This window comes from Homo sapiens, chromosome 5 (assembly GCF_000001405.40).
Source record: "Homo sapiens chromosome 5, GRCh38.p14 Primary Assembly".
Taxonomy (NCBI): Eukaryota; Metazoa; Chordata; class Mammalia; order Primates; family Hominidae; genus Homo; species Homo sapiens.
Genome location: NC_000005.10, coordinates 173535729 through 173555880, shown reverse-complemented (window position 1 = coordinate 173555880; position 20152 = coordinate 173535729). Strand labels below are relative to the sequence as shown.

At 46.8% G+C, this 20152-nt stretch overlaps 1 long non-coding RNA gene across 2 annotated transcripts, besides 1 other annotated feature; it reads right to left on the bottom strand.

The window, feature by feature from the left end:
* Window positions 1-347: 347 nt before the first annotated feature.
* LOC105377733 (uncharacterized) lies at window positions 348-12605 on the bottom strand. Of its 2 annotated transcripts, none has more exons than XR_941247.2 (3): window positions 12470-12605; window positions 10667-10751; window positions 348-549 (listed from the first exon to the last, which is right to left on the bottom strand). It is a non-coding gene; the product is annotated as an uncharacterized LOC105377733 (long non-coding RNA). The 2 variants fall into 2 exon arrangements; XR_941248.2 differs by lacking the exon at window positions 12470-12605 and adding an exon at window positions 11898-12161.
* Window positions 11014-11513: an enhancer, noted in NCBI's record as "H3K4me1 hESC enhancer chr5:172971371-172971870 (GRCh37/hg19 assembly coordinates)". NCBI's record gives its function as "activates a minimal SCP1, AML or CMV promoter by ChIP-STARR-seq in primed H9 embryonic stem cells {active_cell/tissue: H9 hESC(primed)}" and the evidence as "EXISTENCE:reporter gene assay evidence [ECO:0000049][PMID:30033119]".
* Window positions 12606-20152: the final 7547 nt, after the last annotated feature.

Here is a 20152-nt window from a genome sequence, read left to right as displayed (position 1 = left end):
AACAAATACAGCTGCCACGTGCCCTAAATGTTCTTGGATCATTTAATCCACACCTAACAAGGGAGTGCACGACTATTAATGACCAAAATAAATAGTAATCAATTATGATGATGGTAATTATGCTTTTGAAATTAGTCTGGGAAAGGATGACCGAGGCAATTTTTTATTCCAGCTCGGGAAAATGGGACGCCAGCTGGGGCTAATAAGAGCTTTCATTAAGACACTGAGATTCATCCAGGGCTGCGAAGAAAGCCCTCTCTGTCCCGAGGCCCGGCCTGGCCCTGACATGCCTTCTGCTTTTTAACAAGAACTGAAAGGTGGCGAGACAGTTCTTGCCTTGGCAGGGGGCGAAGTCGGCCTCTGAAAAGGCAGTGATTATTCTCCACGGCGCAGCGTGGGGAGTTTCGTTTCTTTGGCCTCCGGTCTCCACACGCTGGGGTTCCAGCACGGGTGATGTGTGCCTGGAGCCGATGGCGCCCGCGGGCTGCGGATGACCCCGGGCAGAGGGTCTGGCAAGGCAGGACGCGCCGGGCAGTTCGCAGGGACTGGCTGGGCAGGGAGACAGAGGGAGGAAAAAAAATGTGGTTTCTGTAAAAGGGGCTGTGTGTCCTTCCTCGCCTCGGGTTGCCCCAAGAGCTGCTGCCGAGATGGTCACTAATATTTACCTGCCAGCCCTTCCATCCCAGAGAGCATATTTACCCAGGCACAGGCAGCCCCGCCTCTTCACTCTGCTCCTGCATGCCCGGCGCCCTTGGGTCTTTCATGGAAGTCCTCTGCTGCTGGCTCCTGCCTCAGTTTCCCTCTCTGCCTCACTCTTTTTCTCTCTCTGTCTCTCTGCCTCTTTCTCTGCTTCTCTCTTGCTATTTAGAAACTAAAGAAGGCTTCTCACTTAGCCACCCAGTAGCACAGTCAACAGTTGTAGGGTTGGTGGGAGTAAAATCCCCTTCTCCCTCTTTTTAGTCCTGATAGAGACAATGAACAGGAGGCTCACCATCTAAACATAGATCCCAGTCTCAGCTTAATTCGAAGGCTCTCAGTCAAGAGTGAGTCCCCTTCCTTGGTCCCCCTACCCCAGGGACGTGGGAATTTTGCTTGTCATAACTGGGGTGGCAGATGCTACTGGCATCTAGTGGATAGAGAGGGATGCTGCTAGACACCCCACGATGCACACAACGAAGTATTAGCCCACGCAGAATGTCAATAGTGCAGGCTTAAGGGCTAAGTAAGCATCTAATCACCCCCTCACAGGCTGGCCTCCTGGAAGACTGTGTTGGGGGTGTGAGATCCTGAAGGCAACGTCCATAGCAGAGATCTCAGGAAGAAAACAGGGCCAGCCAGAGGCCTGGCCGCAGCCAGCGAAGTCAGCCAAGACAGTGACTCTGTCCCCTGGGAACAACACTGGCCAGTCAGATTAGCAGCTCCAGAGAAACTAAGGCATGTTTCCAGGGAAACTAAGGTAACAAGAGAAGATTGCAGAAGCTCTCTTCCTAACACCTCTGCAGGAGGTAGGAAGCTCCTCTTGTGTGGAAGAGAAGGACTTAGGGAGAGGAGAAAAGGGGGTTCCTTTCTAAGCCAGTTCAGGCTGATGTATGCTCAGAGTCTGGTGGACTCAGGAGACCCTCCCACGTGGCTCAGCGATGGCCTGGAGCTGGGAACAATCCTGAAAACATTGCCCTGTTCTCAACATTTATTTGGCAGCGGTATGTAAGGCTTGTGCCAGGTGGTCTGCCAGCTCTAATTCCATCCATAGGACAGGCTGCAAGATTTTCATTTCCACTTTACAGATGAGGCAACCATGGCTCAGGAAGATTAAGTGTCTTGACTTGAGGCCATTCGGCAAGCTGTGGGGGAGGTGGGGTAGGAACTGAGTCTCACATGAGATCACTCGGAGCCTCCCTGTAATCTGTATCTAAGGACTAGAGACCCAGAGGGGACTAGAGACAACAACATTGGTGGGTGGACTGAAGTGTGAGGCAGCAAAGTGAGCTCTAAAAGAGCCTAGGTGCTCTGGTCCAGGAAGATCTCGGCTGAGAGCAGCGAGGTCCAAGGTCTGAACTACATGAGGATCGTGGAGAGAGTGGACACAAACTCCATCACCAAATCTCCCATATCACAAATCTAAGTTGCACCCTTTGAATCTTTGACTAGGTCTCTGAGAGAGTAATCTTGTAGAACTCTTCAACTCAAAATCACTGTCAAAAATAGAGCTTATTGGCCGGGCGCAGTGGCTCACGCATGTAATCCCAGCACTTTTGGAGGCCAAGGCCAGCGGATCACCTGAGCTCAGGAGTTCGAGAGCAACCTGACCAACCTGGTGAAACCCTGTCTCTATTAAAAATACAAAAATGAGCTGGCTGTGCTGGCAGGTGCCTGTAATCCCAGCTACTTGGGAGGCTGAGGCAGAAGAATCGCTTGAACCTGGGAGGCAGAGGTTGCACTAAGCCAAGATCGCGCCACTGCACTCCAGCCTGGGCGACAAGAGTAAAACTCCATCTCAAAAAAAAAAAAAATTGAGTTTATTTAGACTGCACTTAAATCCTAGAGATTTGGGTGATGAGGGCAGGGATGATCCTGTACTGAGTGCCAACTATGCGGGAGGTGCTCTATAGACCTACACACAGATGAATTCATTACCTCTTCCCAGAATCCTACGAGGTACTGTGAGCCCCAGTTTTTCAGACCAGGGAACTGAGCTTCATAGAAGTTATATAATTTGTCCAGTGTTCCCCAGCCAGGTACGTAGCTGGTGACACTGGCATGTACCTGAGCATAATCCCCTGGTGCTAGGTGGTGTCCATCATTATCAAGCGGTACTGGGCTATAATGGAGACAAAGCCCCATTGGAGCTTCTGTCAGGGAAGATCCTCGAAGGATCCCACGACACTCCCCCTCCAACCCTGTGTGCTTCTGTCAGAGACAAAATCCTGAGGTACACACCCAGTAAGCCCTATTAGTAAGGCAGATGTTGGCTTCTAAAAAGCCCACACACACCAGGGTGACGCTGCTCTCCGTTTGGTGGACTCAGAAGAAAGGTCTGTCCTATTTTGTTTTCCACATTGACCCATTCCAGGGTCAGGAATTCTTCCATATAGACACCCTCAGGCTAAGCCAATTTTTTCTCTCCTGTACAGAGTGGAGATGGAGAACAGCTGGTGGCCACCGTCCCTAAAAATCTTTTATAAACCTGAAGACTCATATAATCAGTCTTCTCCAAGTGAAATCATCTCAGTTATTTTAAACTTTTCTCAGGGATTATATATTCTCCAAGTTCCCTTTACAAATGAGTTGAAGTTCTCTCTGTTCCTCTTAAGGAGCAGAGACCACAGTCAGCCGTAATGTCCAGCCTGTCACTCTGCAGAACAAGTGTTTTCTCACAAATGTTGGCAGAGTGGGGATTTCCTAATAAAGACAACACGGAAGAAACCGTGATGGGGTGAAAACCTCAAAGAGGCCTGAGTTCAAATCCTGACTCCCCCACTCCTCATACTAGCTCTGTGAATTCAGGACAATAAGCTGGGCTTGCAAGACCTTCATTTGTGTATCTCCAAAACAGAGGGAATGACCTTCCTTAAGACCCTAATGACATAATATAAGTTAAATGCTTGACACCTACCAGGAATCCTGTACCCAGTAGCTATTGTGACTTTACTATGACTTTACTTTTACACCCTCCATTCCCCACCATGAAGTATATAGTTGCTTCATTATTTACAATCCTTCAGAATCAAACAAGCAAACCCAATACTGGAAGTTCCTCCATGGCCCTGTTTGCATCCTAAAGAAGTGAGCCTTCCCTTCTGGAAGTGTTTGAACAAGACTGCTCATACCTCCAAGGGGTGTCTGGGAAAGGGTTCCTAATTTTATCGGGGATGGGCTTGGTAGCCTCTTAAAATTCCTTTCAACTCCGAGATTCTATTTAGAATCCAAGTCAACCCAGGCTCTTATCTCTAATCCATTTTTCCACAAAGAAATTCAAGCGGATTTTCCATGAGGGAAATGCAGGAGATGTTACTCTGTATCCCCCATAGAACAGTTCCTCCAGTTCTTATTAGACATGCCTAGTGCCCAAGCTCCCCTCTCTCATGCTTCCTCTGATGATATTCCTCTTCCAAGCTTCCCCACAAATGCTCCGTCTCCTTTCTGTTGGGTCAAGCAATGCAGCCTTTCCCCAAAACATGTCTTCCCCATCCTGGTTAACCGTGGCTAGCTAACAGAATACACATCCTTAGCAGGCAGTCTAGAGACTGGAGAATGGCCTTTGGGGTCTGACTGTACAACCACAGAGACGTATCTGTGAATTCATGTCCTCAACACACACAGTTGTTTTTAGAGAAATTTCTCTAAGACAGTTTCCTCCATCTTCTTGCAGACAAGTAATGACTCCTGTCTCCACTTCCAAGAGCTTTCATCTCCCCCCTGTAAAAAAATTATGTTACCAAATATCTATATTTGTATAATATTTTTGAAATTTTCTTGCACTTTTTATCTATTGACTTTATGATACTTTTTGTCTGGACATTTGTAACATCTAATGTCAATGCTGTAGCATTACAGTTGGCCCATAGTTGCCACCAGCTTATACAGTTTTTGATAAATCAGCATGAAACATATTTTAAGATTGAGGTTTCAGTTTATGAGGAATGAATTAGCTGCATACTTCTCTGCTTTGAGAAACTCAAAATTTACTGAATATCCTGCCAGTAAGAGAGTAGCTGAACTAGACTCCCTCTTTCCAAGGCTCTAGTTGACAACACACTTTCACAGTTGACTTACAATGTGAGGATTTCTCAAAGAGATCCCTTCCCCACAGCACAGTTCGGCCTCATTCAGTTATTTCCACCAGGTTGTAGTCAGCAAATGTTCCCAACTCCTCTTGGGTCACATCTCAGGGAAACCTCCAAGGGCAGCGAGACCCTGGATGCAGCAATTTTGTTATTAAAGTGCAGGTGTGGCCCTCTGTTGAAGGAAGTTGGCCTCCTGACTTGGGAACGCAGCATGATTCCTTCTCAGCCAGGAGACAACTGCCTGAGCCGGACGTTGCCCTCTGGTGTTGTCCAGGTAGGGAAACTCCTGGCTCCTTGTAAATCCTCTTCAGGGTTAGATTTCTTAACAGCAATTGCAAAGCAGCTTTGGGGCGAGTCAAGTAAACTGGCATTGGACGGCACTTGAAAAGTCATCCTGGCTAACATACTGCTTCCACTCAGGACTGAGACTTAAATGAAAGTGGGTGGATTTCACCAGGAGCAATTTCTTCCCCAATCCTGGCAGCTGGGTGGAGAGGTGGGCTGTAGTGACTTAGAGGGGAGAGTTTGTGAACAGCCTTTTTAGTGCACTTTGTTAGTGGCCTCATAAAGCTGCTACACAGAACTTCATTTTGGTAGAAAATACCATGATACAACATAGCTTGCTGAGTGTTCAAATCCCTTCCTTTCATATTTCCTTTCTGCATACCCTTCACCTTTACCCACTTGCATTAGCAGGCAATCTTCTCATTCCTACCAAATTTCTCAGTCAAATCAGAGAAGTTAGTCTGTGAGCGGAAATCATGTCAGAGGCCCCTTGAAAAAGAGATACTGTTTCATGGTTCTGGAGTATCCAGGTACCACAAAAGCTTTGGTGCCCCGTGTGTTTACGTAGTCACACAGTAAGAGGATGGAAGGGGTCCCCGAAGGAAACCAAACCCACATATGAACAGAGTTTAAAGGTTCATACTGGGTAGGTCACGGCATCTCATATCTGTAATAGCAGCTGCTAAGGAAGCCAAGGCAGATGGATCGCTTGAGGCCAGCAGTTTGAGACCAGCCTGGGCACCATAACAAGACACCCATCTCTATAAAAAATAAATAATGAAATAAAATTAATAAAATATAAAACATAAAGGTGCATGCTGATTCATTCCAATATTCCCTCCCCATTTACTCAACTGCTGTTATTGAGCCCCTGCTTGGTTTCAGGCTTGTTGCTGTAGGCTGAGGACTCTGACGTGGGGAGCACCCAGTTGCTGTGTTTCAGATACCAATTGCTGCATAACAAACTACGCCAACACTTAGCGGCTGAAAACAATCATTTCATTATGTTCCTATGTTCCCTGGGTCTGGAATTTAGACAGGGTACTGCAGGGTTGGCTCCTAGATGTCTGGAACCTCACTTGGGAAGACTTGAAGCCTGGAGGAGAGTTGACAGCTATAAACTGGAATTTTCTAAAAGTCTGCATTGGAATGACCTAAAGCTAAGCCTGCAGAACACAGCACCTGCACGCAGTTGCTCCATACGGCTTGGCTTTCCTTTAATGTGGTAACCCAGGGTTCAAAGGATGAATGTCCCAAAATGAGGAAGCCGTATTATCCTTTGGTCAGTAATCGCTTCACTGTATTCTATCGGTCAAAGCCATCACAAGCTTACATACACACATACAAGGGGACATGGACACCACCTCCCCATGAAAGGAGAGTCAAGGTCACATTATGGAAGAGCATGTGTGATGAAACATCTTGGCACAGCCACCATTGAAAAATAAGACTTGCCACCCACTGTTCATGGCCACAGTCAGAAGTGCCCCTGGGTGCATCACACCCTTGTGTGCAATCGTCACCATTCATTCATTCATTCACTCACTCGCTTCTGTGTAACCCAGGAGGCAGCCACAGCCTCATCAATTTTTGAAATCACAATAGAACTACCTACAGTTCCACAGCCCTGGAAAGCCTGAGCCTCTCCAAGATTCCTGCAATCTTCCCTTCTCCCTTGCTAAGCAGGAGTGGGACTGTGCAAATGGAGGTGTGAAACAACCATTGGTGGTGGAGGGTGAGAAAGAGTGGATTTCCATTGCATACTTCATGCAAACAGCTTTAAAACTCATATGAGGTTGATGATGTTCTCCATCATCCTTTCCCAAATCCCCCACAACACACACACACCCCACATGGGACTTCTCCCCATTTCCACCTGGCCAGCAGCCCCCAGCATCTGTGGCTTCTCTTCCCATTGTCCAATCCCCAATCCCCACAAGCCACACTGGGGGTTCCTCGCTTTCTTCACCTCTGTTTGCAGAACTCTGCCTCTTCTCCCAGATGTGCTCGCAGAAGCTTTTCAACATGCTGAGCAGAGCTAACATCTTTCTAAGACTGCAGCCCACCCATCTGAGAGAGCATTTCAATCTTATCGAGTGCTGCTAACTGATACTCATTTAACAGACATTGGTTGGGCACCTACTGTGCACCCAGCACTGGATGGTGTAGTGGACATAGGATTATACTATATACCTCTCTGAATTATATGGTGAAATGGCTGCTTTTACCTTATTGTTAGAAGGATGTCTGGAAATATTATTAATGTTATGTTGTTATTATTATTATACTTTTTGCCTTGACAGAACGCTTTCACTTCTGCAAGAGATGTTGCCATAGGCTATGAGCTCTACTCCCCTGGCTTCAGTCATTTGCAAGTCAGCTTTATGATTTTTGCTGTACATGTGTACCACCTGCATTTTATTAGCTTTATGTAAGTCTTTAAAATGACTCACTTTCTCTACTTACAATTTTAAAAATTTTACATCATTACCGTAAATGGAAAACTATAATTCCTCACCATAAATGGAAGGCAACCCTAACATTAAATTCCATTTTAAAACTACCCTATGAAATTTTAGCTAAATACAGACACTTGAACCTGTGCCTGCTCTCTCTTTGTTAAAAAGGGAGCATAGGACGTATTGGAAAAGCATGAAAGACAACCTAGCACCACACTGAAACATACTCCTTGGTGTAATCCACATAGCTATAAAGGGAAGAGTGTTCTCTCTGAGGAATATAGTATAATTTAATGTCACCTCTGTGCACCATCTACCATCGTCTCAGGTAACATCAGTGATTTTCACCTAAATCAGTTACAATGGCCAGGTTCTGCTGCAGTAACAAACAACCGTCAAACCTCAGTAGCTTAAAACACAAAAATTATCTCTTTTCCATAGCCACTGTGGGTTGGCAAGGTTCCAGCTCATTCTTGTTGCCCCAGATCCCAGGATGGCAACCACAGTCCTGAATGCTGAGGTTCACTATGTCAGAGGGAAAGGAGAGTGTCATGAAGCATTGCACTGCCTCTGAATGCTTCTGCCCGGTAGTGAATACACACTCCTGCTCACTCTTCCATGGCAAGGGTGAGTCACATTGCTAGTCCTGACTTTACTTGAGCAGGAAGTACAACCTACCACATCCCAGGACAGACAGCTGGCATATCTTGTAAACAGCCACACTGACTTCCATCCCACCCCATGCACTGAAAACACTACCGCAACTAGTTGGGCCCCAGCCTCTCCAGGGACAGCGATCTCTACACAGCCCCCATACCCAGACAAACCAGACCACTCCTCATTCCCTGGTCAGACCCTGCACTGGCCTTCTCCCCACCTCTATCCACTGCCTGCCCCATCTCGACCAGAACGCCCTCTCCCTGCCTCCCATTCTACTTACGCTTCCAGGTTCCACCTGCTCCTGAGGCTTTGGAAGCCCCCAAAACTGAAAGCCATCCAAGCTGGAAGGGTTGGGCCCCCTCATTTTAGAGCAGGGTTTTTCTCCTCAACACTGCTGACATTTGGGGCTGGATAATTCTTTGTTGTAGGGGGCTGCCCTGTACATTGCAGTAGGTCTAGCAGCATCCCTGGCCTTTGCCCACTAGATGCCCATGGCAGCTCCTCCCTCCAACTGACCAACTGTGACAACCAGAAATGCCTCAAGACATTGAACGTTTGCAGAGGGGACAGGATTTCCCTCAGTCAAGAACCATTGTTTTACAAAGTAACCAAGAGAAACTAAATACTAAATACTGTGTCCAAGGTGACATGGTGAGTTAATGACCAAAGGGACTAAAGGAATCTGAGCTCTGGTGCCTGGAGGGCAGGCTGGGCAAATAAATGAGGAAAATGGGCTGGCTCATATTCTTTTGACACATTTGTTGTGTCTATTAAACACTTCCAGAAAGACATATTCTCTTTCATTAAAAAAAAAAAAAGGCCGGGCGCGGTGGCTCACGCCTGTAATCCCAGCACTTTGGGAGGCCGAGGCGGGTGGATCACGAGGTCAGGAGATCGAGACCATCCCGGCTAAAATGGTGAAACCCCGTCTCTACTAAAAATACAAAAAATTAGCCGGGCGTAGTGGCGGGCGCCTGTAGTCCCAGCTACTTGGGAGGCTGAGGCAGGAGAATGGCGTGAACCCGGGAGGCGGAGCTTGCAGTGAGCCGAGATCCCGCCACTGCACTCCAGCCTGGGCGACAGAGCGAGACTCCGTCTCAAAAAAAAAAAAAAAAAAAAAAGTAATGACCTAGACTTCTTGGTCTGTCTTTCATTTTTCAGCTTTTGATATAAACAAGAGGATAAGAAATATCTCATTTTCCTGGAGTTCTATCATAAGAAAGAGAGTGATGTCAATCCACTGACAACAGGGCTACTGGCAATGTAAAGAGAGAGAGGCTAGAGAATGGTGAGACTGTAAAACTGAGAGCAGGTGCCCCATCTGATAGGCCAAGTATTGTAGCTAGTTGTCCGGATCTTTCTAATGAGGCGAAATCCGGATTTGAATGAGAGATCCCTTGATTTTCAGAAGCTGGAAAATAATTTCTTTTTTTAAAATCTCCAAGCCCAAACTATGGATCATGCAAAATACCAGGCTCAACACTTGGATCATCCAGGTCGGCCACCTCTACATTACACAAGCAACCGTGTTGTTTACTGGTGCAGACATCTGTCACAGCCACAGCTCACACCCTGCCCTGGGTGTCAGAGGCATCTAAGGGGCTTTGAACACTCCTGAGACATAGGCCTGTTGAACTGAAAGCACCCAGTGTGGGCCCCAGGGACCCGTGTCTTTGAAAACCTCCCAGATGATTCTGCTATACAGGTTTGGAAACCACTTCTCCCACTCCCTTCCACTCTCCTCCCCAGACCATGAGCTCCTTGTGGGAAGAGGGGAGGGGGGCAGCATCTCATTCATTCATGTTCAGCACCAGCATGAACCTGGCACAGAGGAGATGCTCCTTAAAACTTCACTCATTCAAACCGAATCACTGGGAAGTTTGAAGGAGTCATTGCTTCCAGGCTTTTTTCTTGAATCTCATTAGAAAAAAAAAAAAAATCTCTTTGGTATTTGGTTGCCACATTCTTGTATCAACACCAAGGTTCGTCGGAAGAAAGATGGTCATGGCGGGCAGGAAAGGTGATGGTGAGCAAGTGGTGTTATTGCCATTACAATAACTTAAAAGGAGAAAGTATTTTTAAAAATTACATATATATATATTTGAGATGGAGTCTCACTCTGTCACCCAGGCTGGAGTGCAGTGGCACCGTGTCGGCTCATTGCAACCTCCGTCTCCCGGGTTCACGCAATTCTCCTGCCTCAGCCTCCTGAGTAGCTGGGATTACAGGCGCCCGCCACCAAGCCCTGCTAGTTTTTATATTTTTAGTAGAGATGAGGTTTCACCATGTTGGCCAGGCTGCTCTCGAACTCCTGACCTCAGGTGATCCACCCACCTCGGCTTCCCAAAGTGCTAGGATTACAGGTGTGAGCCACCACACCCGGCCTAAATATTTTTAAAGATTTGAAAAGGAGAAGTAATTTTAAAAGGGGAAAGTCTATGAAGTGGCTTCAGTTCCAGGAAGGCTGGATGGACTTACCTCTGGCCAAGCCCTCAGTCCCGGACAAGACTTCCTCTGGCTCCTTAGAGGGCAAACAAGTTGTGGCTACTTCTCACGTGGGCCTCTGTGGGGAGAGACACTCCTTCAGCATCATTTATTGAATCCAGCAAATTTTAAACCCATCCAACCACAGTTCCAGCAGTTCCATACCTGGAACTTCCTTTTGAGATATGTTAAGATAAAGGTACGAAGACGTAGGCACAAGAATGTCTGTTGTGCAGCATTATTTGAAGTAGCACAGCCGTGGACAAGAGCTGGGTGTCCATCAATGGGGCATTGGGTGAAACTGACTACAGTCCACCAGTATGACTGGAGACTGGCCAACCTTTACCAGAGCTGGGCAGAAGTCACCCGGTCAGCCCTGCTAGTCTCTGTCACTGAAACTCACTCACGTCTCCCACAGCCCTTGCTACCATCTGCATTTGCCAACATATTCGCCTCTTTACCTGGTCACCGTTTCTTTTCAGTCTCAAACTCTAGATTATAATTTTCACAGACACAAGCACCATGCTCGCTTTGTGAGCATATCTGAAGGTACTAATATGAGACCTGTAGAAAGGTGGGAAAATGGTGTCGTGTTGGGGCCAGGCACCATGCTGAGGCTGGAGTAAAGGAATCAATGGAGCTGTGGAGCACCCAGGAAGCAGTGACCTCAGGAGGCCCCTGCCATGCCTCAGCCTCAGGGGCCTGGGGAAGGGAAAAGTTTCCCGGAGTCCAGTGGGAGCTGGAGCTGTGGCCTCCGGGGAGTCCCACCACTTTGAGAACCACAGGCAGCTAGGGAAGAAGCAGGAGGGAAAGGAGGCAGAGTACATACCTTGGCCTCTCTCACCACCTGCCCTTCCATCCCCCAGCAGTGCCTCCCACCAGCCAACCCACCCAGAAGCCAGAGGCCATGGGGGCAGGGTGCTGCCACCTGTAGGGGTTGGCCTCCCAGACACAGAGCAGGGCAGGAAGGAAAGACAGAGAATAGTTCCCGGGCCAGGGGAGGGGAGGCAAAGGGAGAAAGACCACTGTAAGTGTGGTTTCTGTAAAAAATACATATGTGTCTTTTCATGGTCTTGAAAACATCTGGAGACACACAGCAAACCACCCATCTCCAGCAGCTTCCTCTGGGGAGTGGAATTTGGAGGTGGAGGAGGTGTGAGAAGGAGAGGCGGATGTGACTTTGTGCACTTTTGTACTCTGGGAATCTCTAACAATGAGCACATACCTTTAGAATAAAAAGTGTCATCCTCGACTCTGCAGTGCTAGCCCCTGGAAATGCCAAGGAATGGACTCCTTTGCTGACTTTGTAGACCAGGCAGAGTCCCTCTGTGAGCTGCTCCCAGAGCTGGTGGGGAGAACCGCCGGGGCACAGGTGTGGAGGCTGGAAGGGGGTGTGGTGTCTGGGAAGGGCCAGCAGAGTGTCATGGCTGTGCTGCAGACATGAGGGCAGGGCAGGGGCTGAGGCCAGATGGGGAGGTCAGCACATTCCCCTGAAGGGCCCTGAACACCAGGAGGAGGAGAAGATTCATTCTGGTTTAGAAGGTCCTGTACTTCTGAATTCAGACAGTCGGGAGCTTCGTTCCCAGCTCTGCCACTTGGCTGCAGCCCTTGGGCAATTCATATCACTTTTCTGAGCCTCAGCTTCCTCACCAGGAAGATCTCTACCTTGCAGAATTGCTATAGGATTAAGTGAGATATACGCATGTACCTAGTACCTAACTGACCTTCACTAGATCACTGGCATTGCTGTTACTGTCATTGCTGTTACCATAGGCCAGGGTCACAGTGGATGCTAACCTGAAGTCCATCTGCTCAACTGGGATCCCAGGGAGACAGATGTAAAGGCCCCAGGGTGAGGCAGTTGAAGTTGTGCATTCTATGGTCACATAGTGTCCCCTCACCGCAGCCAGCTGTCTTTCAGCCTGTAAACAGATGGCGGGCGGGGTGACCAGTGAGGTTGTGCAGATGGCACTGAGCAAATCAAGCTACACTTTTGGGAAAACAAGTCAGAGGCAGGGCTTGCTGATGAGGGCCCTGTGGACAGCACCGTCTATGACAGACAGCACATCCGGCGATGCCTCCAAGGAAAATCATGAGACGTACCAGATCATGGCGTGCCTCGCCAAGAACTATCTCCACCCTCAATTTCCATGGCCCATTGCCATGGAGACATTGCAGATGGTTGGAAGTCACCCTGCCAGGGTTCATAGTGTAGACTGTGTAGGCCCTCAAGGTCTGGAATCTCAAAAAGCATTGTCTTCTCCACTCCCCTCCCTGAGTTCTTGCCTGGATTCAAGCCTCCTTCATTGCTTCCTTCATTTGTATGCCCCCCACTTCCAAGGACCTTGGGAGAGATGTAGAGCCAGGAAGACATGGATGTTTGGACATGGAGCTGCTGCTCACGTGATGTGGCTGGGAGGATGGAGGGTGGGTCCACCCATGGCAGCATGTCCAAGAGGGCCTTGTGCTGAGAAGCCAGACTCTGGCTTGGACCACCTTTACAGCACTCTCCTGCCACTTCCTCTACACTCCCTGCCTCTGCTCCCTCTGAACTTGTTCCTTGAACAAGCCAAGTTCTGCCAAGACCATGCCTTGGCACTTCTCTCTCTTCTTTACCCAGATGATTCCTTCCTATCTGCCAAGAGCTAATGCAGAGGTCACATCCTCTGAAAGCTTTCTCTGCTCTTTAACAGAGGTAACAATTCCCTCCTGTGTGCTGCACTGTACTGGGTACAGACCTGCTCTATAGCACTTACCATATTCTTCAGCCATGTCTGAAACTACTCACACCTCTGCAACACACACACACACATGCACACATGCACATACACACAGGCACGCACGTATTCACACATGTGCACACACGTGCACACACACGTGCACACACAGCAACTTTCTCCACCTTCCACTCTAAGACTGGCTCCAAAGCTTTTACTAAAAAGGTGGGCACTCTTGATTTTCACCAAGAGCTTGCAGGGCCATTCAAAACCTAGGCTTATACTAATACTTATGCTAATATTAATATTCATATTAACACCTCTCAATTTCTAAAAACAAAAACCAACATATATATCCATGGAGGAAGCATCGTCGCTTGCATTATCTCTAATGATGGGAATAATTCCACTGGGTATCCACTATTATTATCCTTATTTTACAGATAAGAAATCTGCAGGCCAGAGAGGAAAGGTGACTTTCTCAGTCACCCAGCTCGTGATGGCTGATCTGGCTCCAAGGGTTGACATCAGCCCCCAAGTACCTCTCTTTCTTTCTTCCTTTTTCTTTCTTTCTTTTCTTTCTTCCTTCCTTTCTTCCTTTCTTCCTTTCTCTTTCTTTCTTTTCTTCCTTCTTTCTTTTCTTTCTCTCCCTTCCTTCCTTTCTTTCTTCCTTTCTTCTTTCTTCTTTCTTTCTTTCTTTCTTTCTTTCTTTCTTTCTTTCTTTCTTTCTTTTTTTCTTTCAGGTGCCCTTCCTGCTCCTGGCCATGCCCACACCTTACCTGCTGAGCTTACACAAAGCCAGTGCCCCCCATCTTGTGTGATGGAGCAAGAACTTCTCTGAGAAGTTTGTTTCCCATGATAGAAACTTCCTCAGTCTTCCTACTTCTGCTGCTCACTTCTGCTGCTTTAAATGCTTATAGCAATTTATTTTCACAGGGACGTTCCGCATGTCCACGTCTCTGTGGTCATCCAGGCCTTCAGTGCACATGGGCCCAGCGGTCTCTCAGTGTCTTCTTGAAACCTTCAGCATCTGTGCAGGGCCCTGCTAACCTTGCTTCCATCCTACTGCACCCGGTAGGCATGGATGCAGAAGGAAATGAGCAAGTTGGGTATGAGATTTTTTACCTAGCATCTCCCCATCCCCACCCCCAGTTCCTGGTAACTACCATTGTACTGTCTGCTCCCACGAGTTCGATTTATTTTAGATTCCACAAGTAAGTGAAATCATGCAGTATTTGTCTTTCTGTGTCTGGCTTATTTCACTTAACATAATGTCCCCCAGATTCATCCATGTTGTCACAAACGACAGCATTTCCTTTTTTTGTGTCTGAATAGGATTCCATTGTGTATACGTATACCACATTTTCTTTATCCGTTCATCTCTCAATGGACACTTAGGTCGTTTCTGTATCTTGGCTATTGTTAATAATGCTGCAATAAACATGGGAGTGCAGACATCTGTCAAGATACTGATTTTATTTCCTTTGAATATTGCATTAGTCCATTCTCACACTGCTATAAAGAACTACCCAAGACTGGGTCATTTATAAAGGTAAGGTGTTTAATTGGCTCATGATTTTGCAGGCTGTACAGGTAGCATGGCTGGGGAGGCCTCAGAAAACTTTCAATGGTGGTGGAAGGCAAAGACGAAGCAGGCACATTTTACATGAGCAGAGCAGGAGGAAGAAAGAGTGAAGGAAGAGGTGCTGCACACTTTTAAACAACCAGATCTCATGAGAACTCACTCACTGTCATGAGAACAACGAGGGGAAGGTCAGCCCCCAAGATCCAGTCGCCTCCCACCAGGACCCTCCTCTAACATTGGGGTTTGCAATTCAACATGAGATTTGAGTGGAGACACAAATTCAAACCATACCAGACATATATCCAGAAGTGGATTTCTGGATGATGTGATAGTTCTATTTTCAATTTTTTGAGGAACTTCCATACTGTTCTCTATAATGGCTGTACTAATTTATGCTATCCCATTATCAATGTAACGAGGGTTCCCTTTTCTCTACATTTTCTCCAACATTAGTTTTCTCTCTCTTTTTTTTAATAAAAGCTATTCTTACAGGTGTGAGGTGATCTCATTATAATTTTAATTTGCTTTTCCCTGATAATCAATGATGTTGAGCATTTCTTCATAGACTGTACCTGTTGGCCATTTGTGTGTCTTCCTTTGGGAAATGTCTCTTCAGATCCTTTGCCCATTTTTTCATTGGGTTATTTGTTTTCTTGCTATTTGTGTTCCTTACATGTTTTGGATAGTAACTCCCTATTGGATGTATGGTTTGCAAAGGGTCTGAGATTCTGCGCAGTGCCTCTGAACTCTGGCTTCCTGGGTTGAAGCTCAGCTCTGCTGCCTGCCACCCTACTAACCTTGGGCAAGTATATTCTCTCTGTGACTCTCACTTCTCTCCTCCACACATTAGGGATAATAATATGCCCTGCACCTTAGCATTTTTGTCATGAAAAAAAGAGGCAAATACAGAGATCTTGGTACAGGCTGTCTGATGTATTAAGTGTTCATTAAATGCTAGCTTATCATATTTTAAGAAGTGTTTATGTGCCAGGCAGTCTTCACAGTAGGTTGGAGGCAGGAGGCCCAGAACCACAATTAGATCATTTTGATGTGGTGTCAGTGCCAGGATGGGAAACCTGCTGGGATGGAGTGGCTTTCACCCATCGCAGGTTTCAGATGAGGCTATCCAGAGGAGAGGGCACCAACTGAGACCAAAGGAGGGAGTACCTGCTTCACACTGTGCAGTGTTTTGAGTTATTCTGAAATTGTTTCTCCCATGGATTTTTTTAATTTTACTCTAAGTTCTGGGATACATGTGCAGAAGGTGCAGGTTTGTTACATGGGTATACATGTGCCATGGTGATTTGCTGCACCTATCAACCTGTCATTTAGGTTTTAATCCCTGCATGCATTAGGTATTTGTCCTAATGCTCTCCCTACCCTTGCCCCCCACCCCCCGGCAGGCCCCGTTGTGTGTTGTTCGCCTTCCTGTGTCCATGTGTTCTCATTGTTCAACTCCCACTTATGAGTGAGAACATGTGGTGTTTGGTTTTCTGTTCCTGTGTTAGTTTGCTGAGAATGATGGCTTCCAGCTTCATCCATGTCCCTGCAAAGGACATGAACTCATTCTTTTTTTATGGCTGCACAGTATTCCATGGTGTATATGTGCCACATTTTCTTTATCCAGTCTATCATAGATGGGTATTTGGGTTGGTTCCACATCTTTGCTATTATAAATAGTGCTGCAATAAACATACGTGTGCATGTGTCTTTATAGTAGAATGATTTATGGATTTATTTTATCTTTTCCAACTTGAAGTCTTGAAGCCATCTCAATTACAGGTGTTCACTGTGTCTTACTCCTTTGCTTTCTCACTGCAGCCCACCATTAGGGGTAACGTTGCATCACTGATAGCTATGCTTTATTGTATTCAGCTAAAGGCCTATTTTTCCTTTGATATTTAGAAGAGAAAGAAGGAGGAAGAGATCAAGCTTCACTTGAAGGAGCACCTGCAAGTGCCAGGCATCTCAGCTATGTCAGTTTCAAGCCACATGGTAGGTCTCCAAGATAACCATGCTATCATCTCCATTTTACAGATGAGAAAACTGAGAGTCAGAGAGGAAATGCACCCAAGTTGACATAACCAGAGACGACACAGCTGGGGCCAGTTCTCAGGTTCATCTTAGCCCTAGGCATCCCACAAATGCCAAAAACACCATTTCACATCATTATGAAATTTAAAAAGAAGACCATGCTACATCACAGAGGAAAATTAGGTTCAGCCCACAGTGGTTTCTACAATCATTTTCATCTAACTCAGTTCCCTGTCATCCCTCTGATCATCTCTGATCTCAATAATCAGTCAGTATGTTAATGGCACCCTTTCCATGTGCCAAAATGGCATTATATTTGCTTCTCTAAGTTCCATTCAAGAAGTTGAACTTCATTTGCTTCCCTTTATCTTTCCCTCTTTGGTTTGTCTCTGGCCTGGATGTAGTGCTTGAGTGCTGGAAGTCATTCCACAGCTCCTGGCAGCACCTCCACCTTGGCCTTCCCAAGACCCTTCTCACCTGGCATCTGCCAAACCAGGGATGTGCACCCAAAGGGGCAGAACGGACTGGTCGGCCCCACCAGGCCCAAGTCAATAGAACACAGAGCCCAAGGCTTAATTTAGAACCCCCTCCCCACAACCATGTGCCTTGACACACATGTTTGTGGCTATCTTTCTGGTGTGGGGATCTCTGCCAAGGTTATTTTCATGCTGACTGACACCTCTGTCTATTCCGGGAGAATATCTCAGGAGAGAAGCGGCTCGTGCCCAGGTCCCAAGACCTCTGGAATGTAATATTGGACCATCTATGGCACGCTGGTTTTCTGGGTGGGAGCCTCTCTGTTGTGTACTCTGTAAAGACCTGGAGGAGTTTTCTGCCTGTCACATGTTAGCAGGACCTTGATGCTCCCAGCTTCTGCTGACCCACATTTTGAACCAGTTGATCCATCAACACAAACTATAAAAAGGAATGAGGGCTGGGCGCAGTGGCTCACGTGTGTAATCCCATCACTTTGCGAGTCTGAGGTGGGTGGATCACTTGAGGTCAGGAGTTTGAGACCAGCCCGGCCAACATGGTGAAACCCCGTCTCTACTATAATACAAAAATTAGCCGGGTGTGGTGGCACACGCCTGTAATCCCAGCTACTCGGGAGGCTGAGGTGGGAGAATTGCTTGAACCCAGGAGGTAGAGGTTGCAGTGAGCTGAGGTTGCGCCACTGCACTCCAGACTGGGTGACAGAGTAAGACTCTATCTCAAAAAAAAAAAAAAAAAAAGGAATGAAATACTGATGCATGCTACAATATGAATGAACCTCAAAACATTATGCCAAATGAAAGAAGCTAGACACAGAAGGCCACGTATTATATATTCCATTTAGATAAAATATCCAGAATAGGCAAATCTATAGAAACAATGCCTGCAGATTGATGGTTGCAGGTGCTGGGGAAGAGGGGAATAGGGAGTGACTGCTTAAGCGGTTCAGGGTTTTCCTGTGGGGTGATGAAAATGTTTTGAAACTAGATAGAGGTGGTGGTTTCATAGCATTGTGAATGCACGAAATGTCACTGAATTATCTACCTTAAAATGGCTCATTTTATGTTATGTGGATTTCACTGCAATTTAAAAAGTACCTGAATCACTGCAGAAAAAAATTTGATATGGCCAACGGTGTTACATACGTGCATCAGGATGTGGAATAATTACAGTAAGAAATCAGAATAAAAGGAGAATGGGGGTAAAAAAGGAAAATGAATCCTGGGTGTGGTTAATGCCCAAGCTGGAAGCCTTTAGCTCTTATTCGGTTGTAAGAAGCGGCTACAAATCCAACTTGAGATTCCCAGCAGCTGAAGCAAAACAGAAAATATAAGTTTTTCCAAAATTTGCAGTGTCTAAAAATAAAATGTGTTGGGTGTTCAGAAAATGCTCTATTAAAGGTTGGGATAATTTTCTCCCGGGGTGCCCAAAGGTCCCCTGTGGAGTGTGAGAGGTCCAGGCTCCTGCTGACGATGGGGCCTCTTGCAGACTCCTGTGTCTGGCCACTCACACGCCAAGGCTGGAAAAAAAACAACCCTCTCTGGGAAGAAGCAGCCTTGGCCATCGTTTCCAGTCCACTCCTTCCAAACCCATGAAGGAGGCGATCTCATTCAGAAAATTGGGGGATCCGTGGACCCCCGAAATAACAAAAAATGTTGTCTAGAGCCCATCATGCATCAGTCCCTTCACCAAATATCTGATGGGTAACTATGGGTGTGCTCAGCTCCACTGAGACCCCCGGGATGAGGGGCCCCCGGGATGAGGCTCCCTTCATGAGGCAAAGCACACCTCATGAAGCTTCCCTCCTAGGAATGAGAGGTAGACATTATTTTTTAAAGATCACTAAAGTATATCGTTGTTAATAGTGTGTGGTAGGAAGAAAAAGCAGAGGAAGCTATACAAAGGAGTGACTCATCATGGCAGTGCTTAGAGAAGGCTTCTCTTAGGAGCCTGACATTGGAAATGAGACCTGAAGGAAGAGTGAGACCATCAAAGAGAAGGGAAGGCTTCCAGACACAAGGGAGGAGCCCTGAGGGTGCCAGGAAGTAAAGGAGGGGCAGTGTTCTTAAGACACTAAGTGACAGAAAGAGTGAAGGGAAAAAAAGCTAAAGAGGTGAGCAGGGACCAGGTTAAGGTGGATTGAAGAGGAGGAGAGGAATGTGGGGTCACAGGAATGTCACATCCACCCACCCTGGAGTGCAGATTATTCAGACAGATGGCCACCAGGATGGGGAAGGAAGCCAGCTTCAAGGACCAAGGAATGTTGGGATGTTGGTTCATGCATCAGCCCCCAGGTATAGGAAGGAAGATTCCAGAATGAACCAGCCCCTTGTTCCACTGGTAACATCGGCCTGGAGAGTTCTTACTCTCACCTGGGAACCTTTCCTGGCTATATCTCTATGCACCTTTGGAATGTGTACCCAAAGGGATGTTAACTTTTCTTTAATGTTTACCTCCAATATCTGTAGGATCTGTCCTTACATCCAAGGCAGCCTGGAGAATGCTGTTGGCTTCCATAGCGACCATTTACTGAGCCTTTGATACATGTTTGAGCCTTGAGACATCACAAGTACTGTGTGAGATAGGTATTATTAGCCACATTTTAAAGATGAGAAACCTGAGGCTGAAAGAGTCTAGAGTGTTTGCTTATGT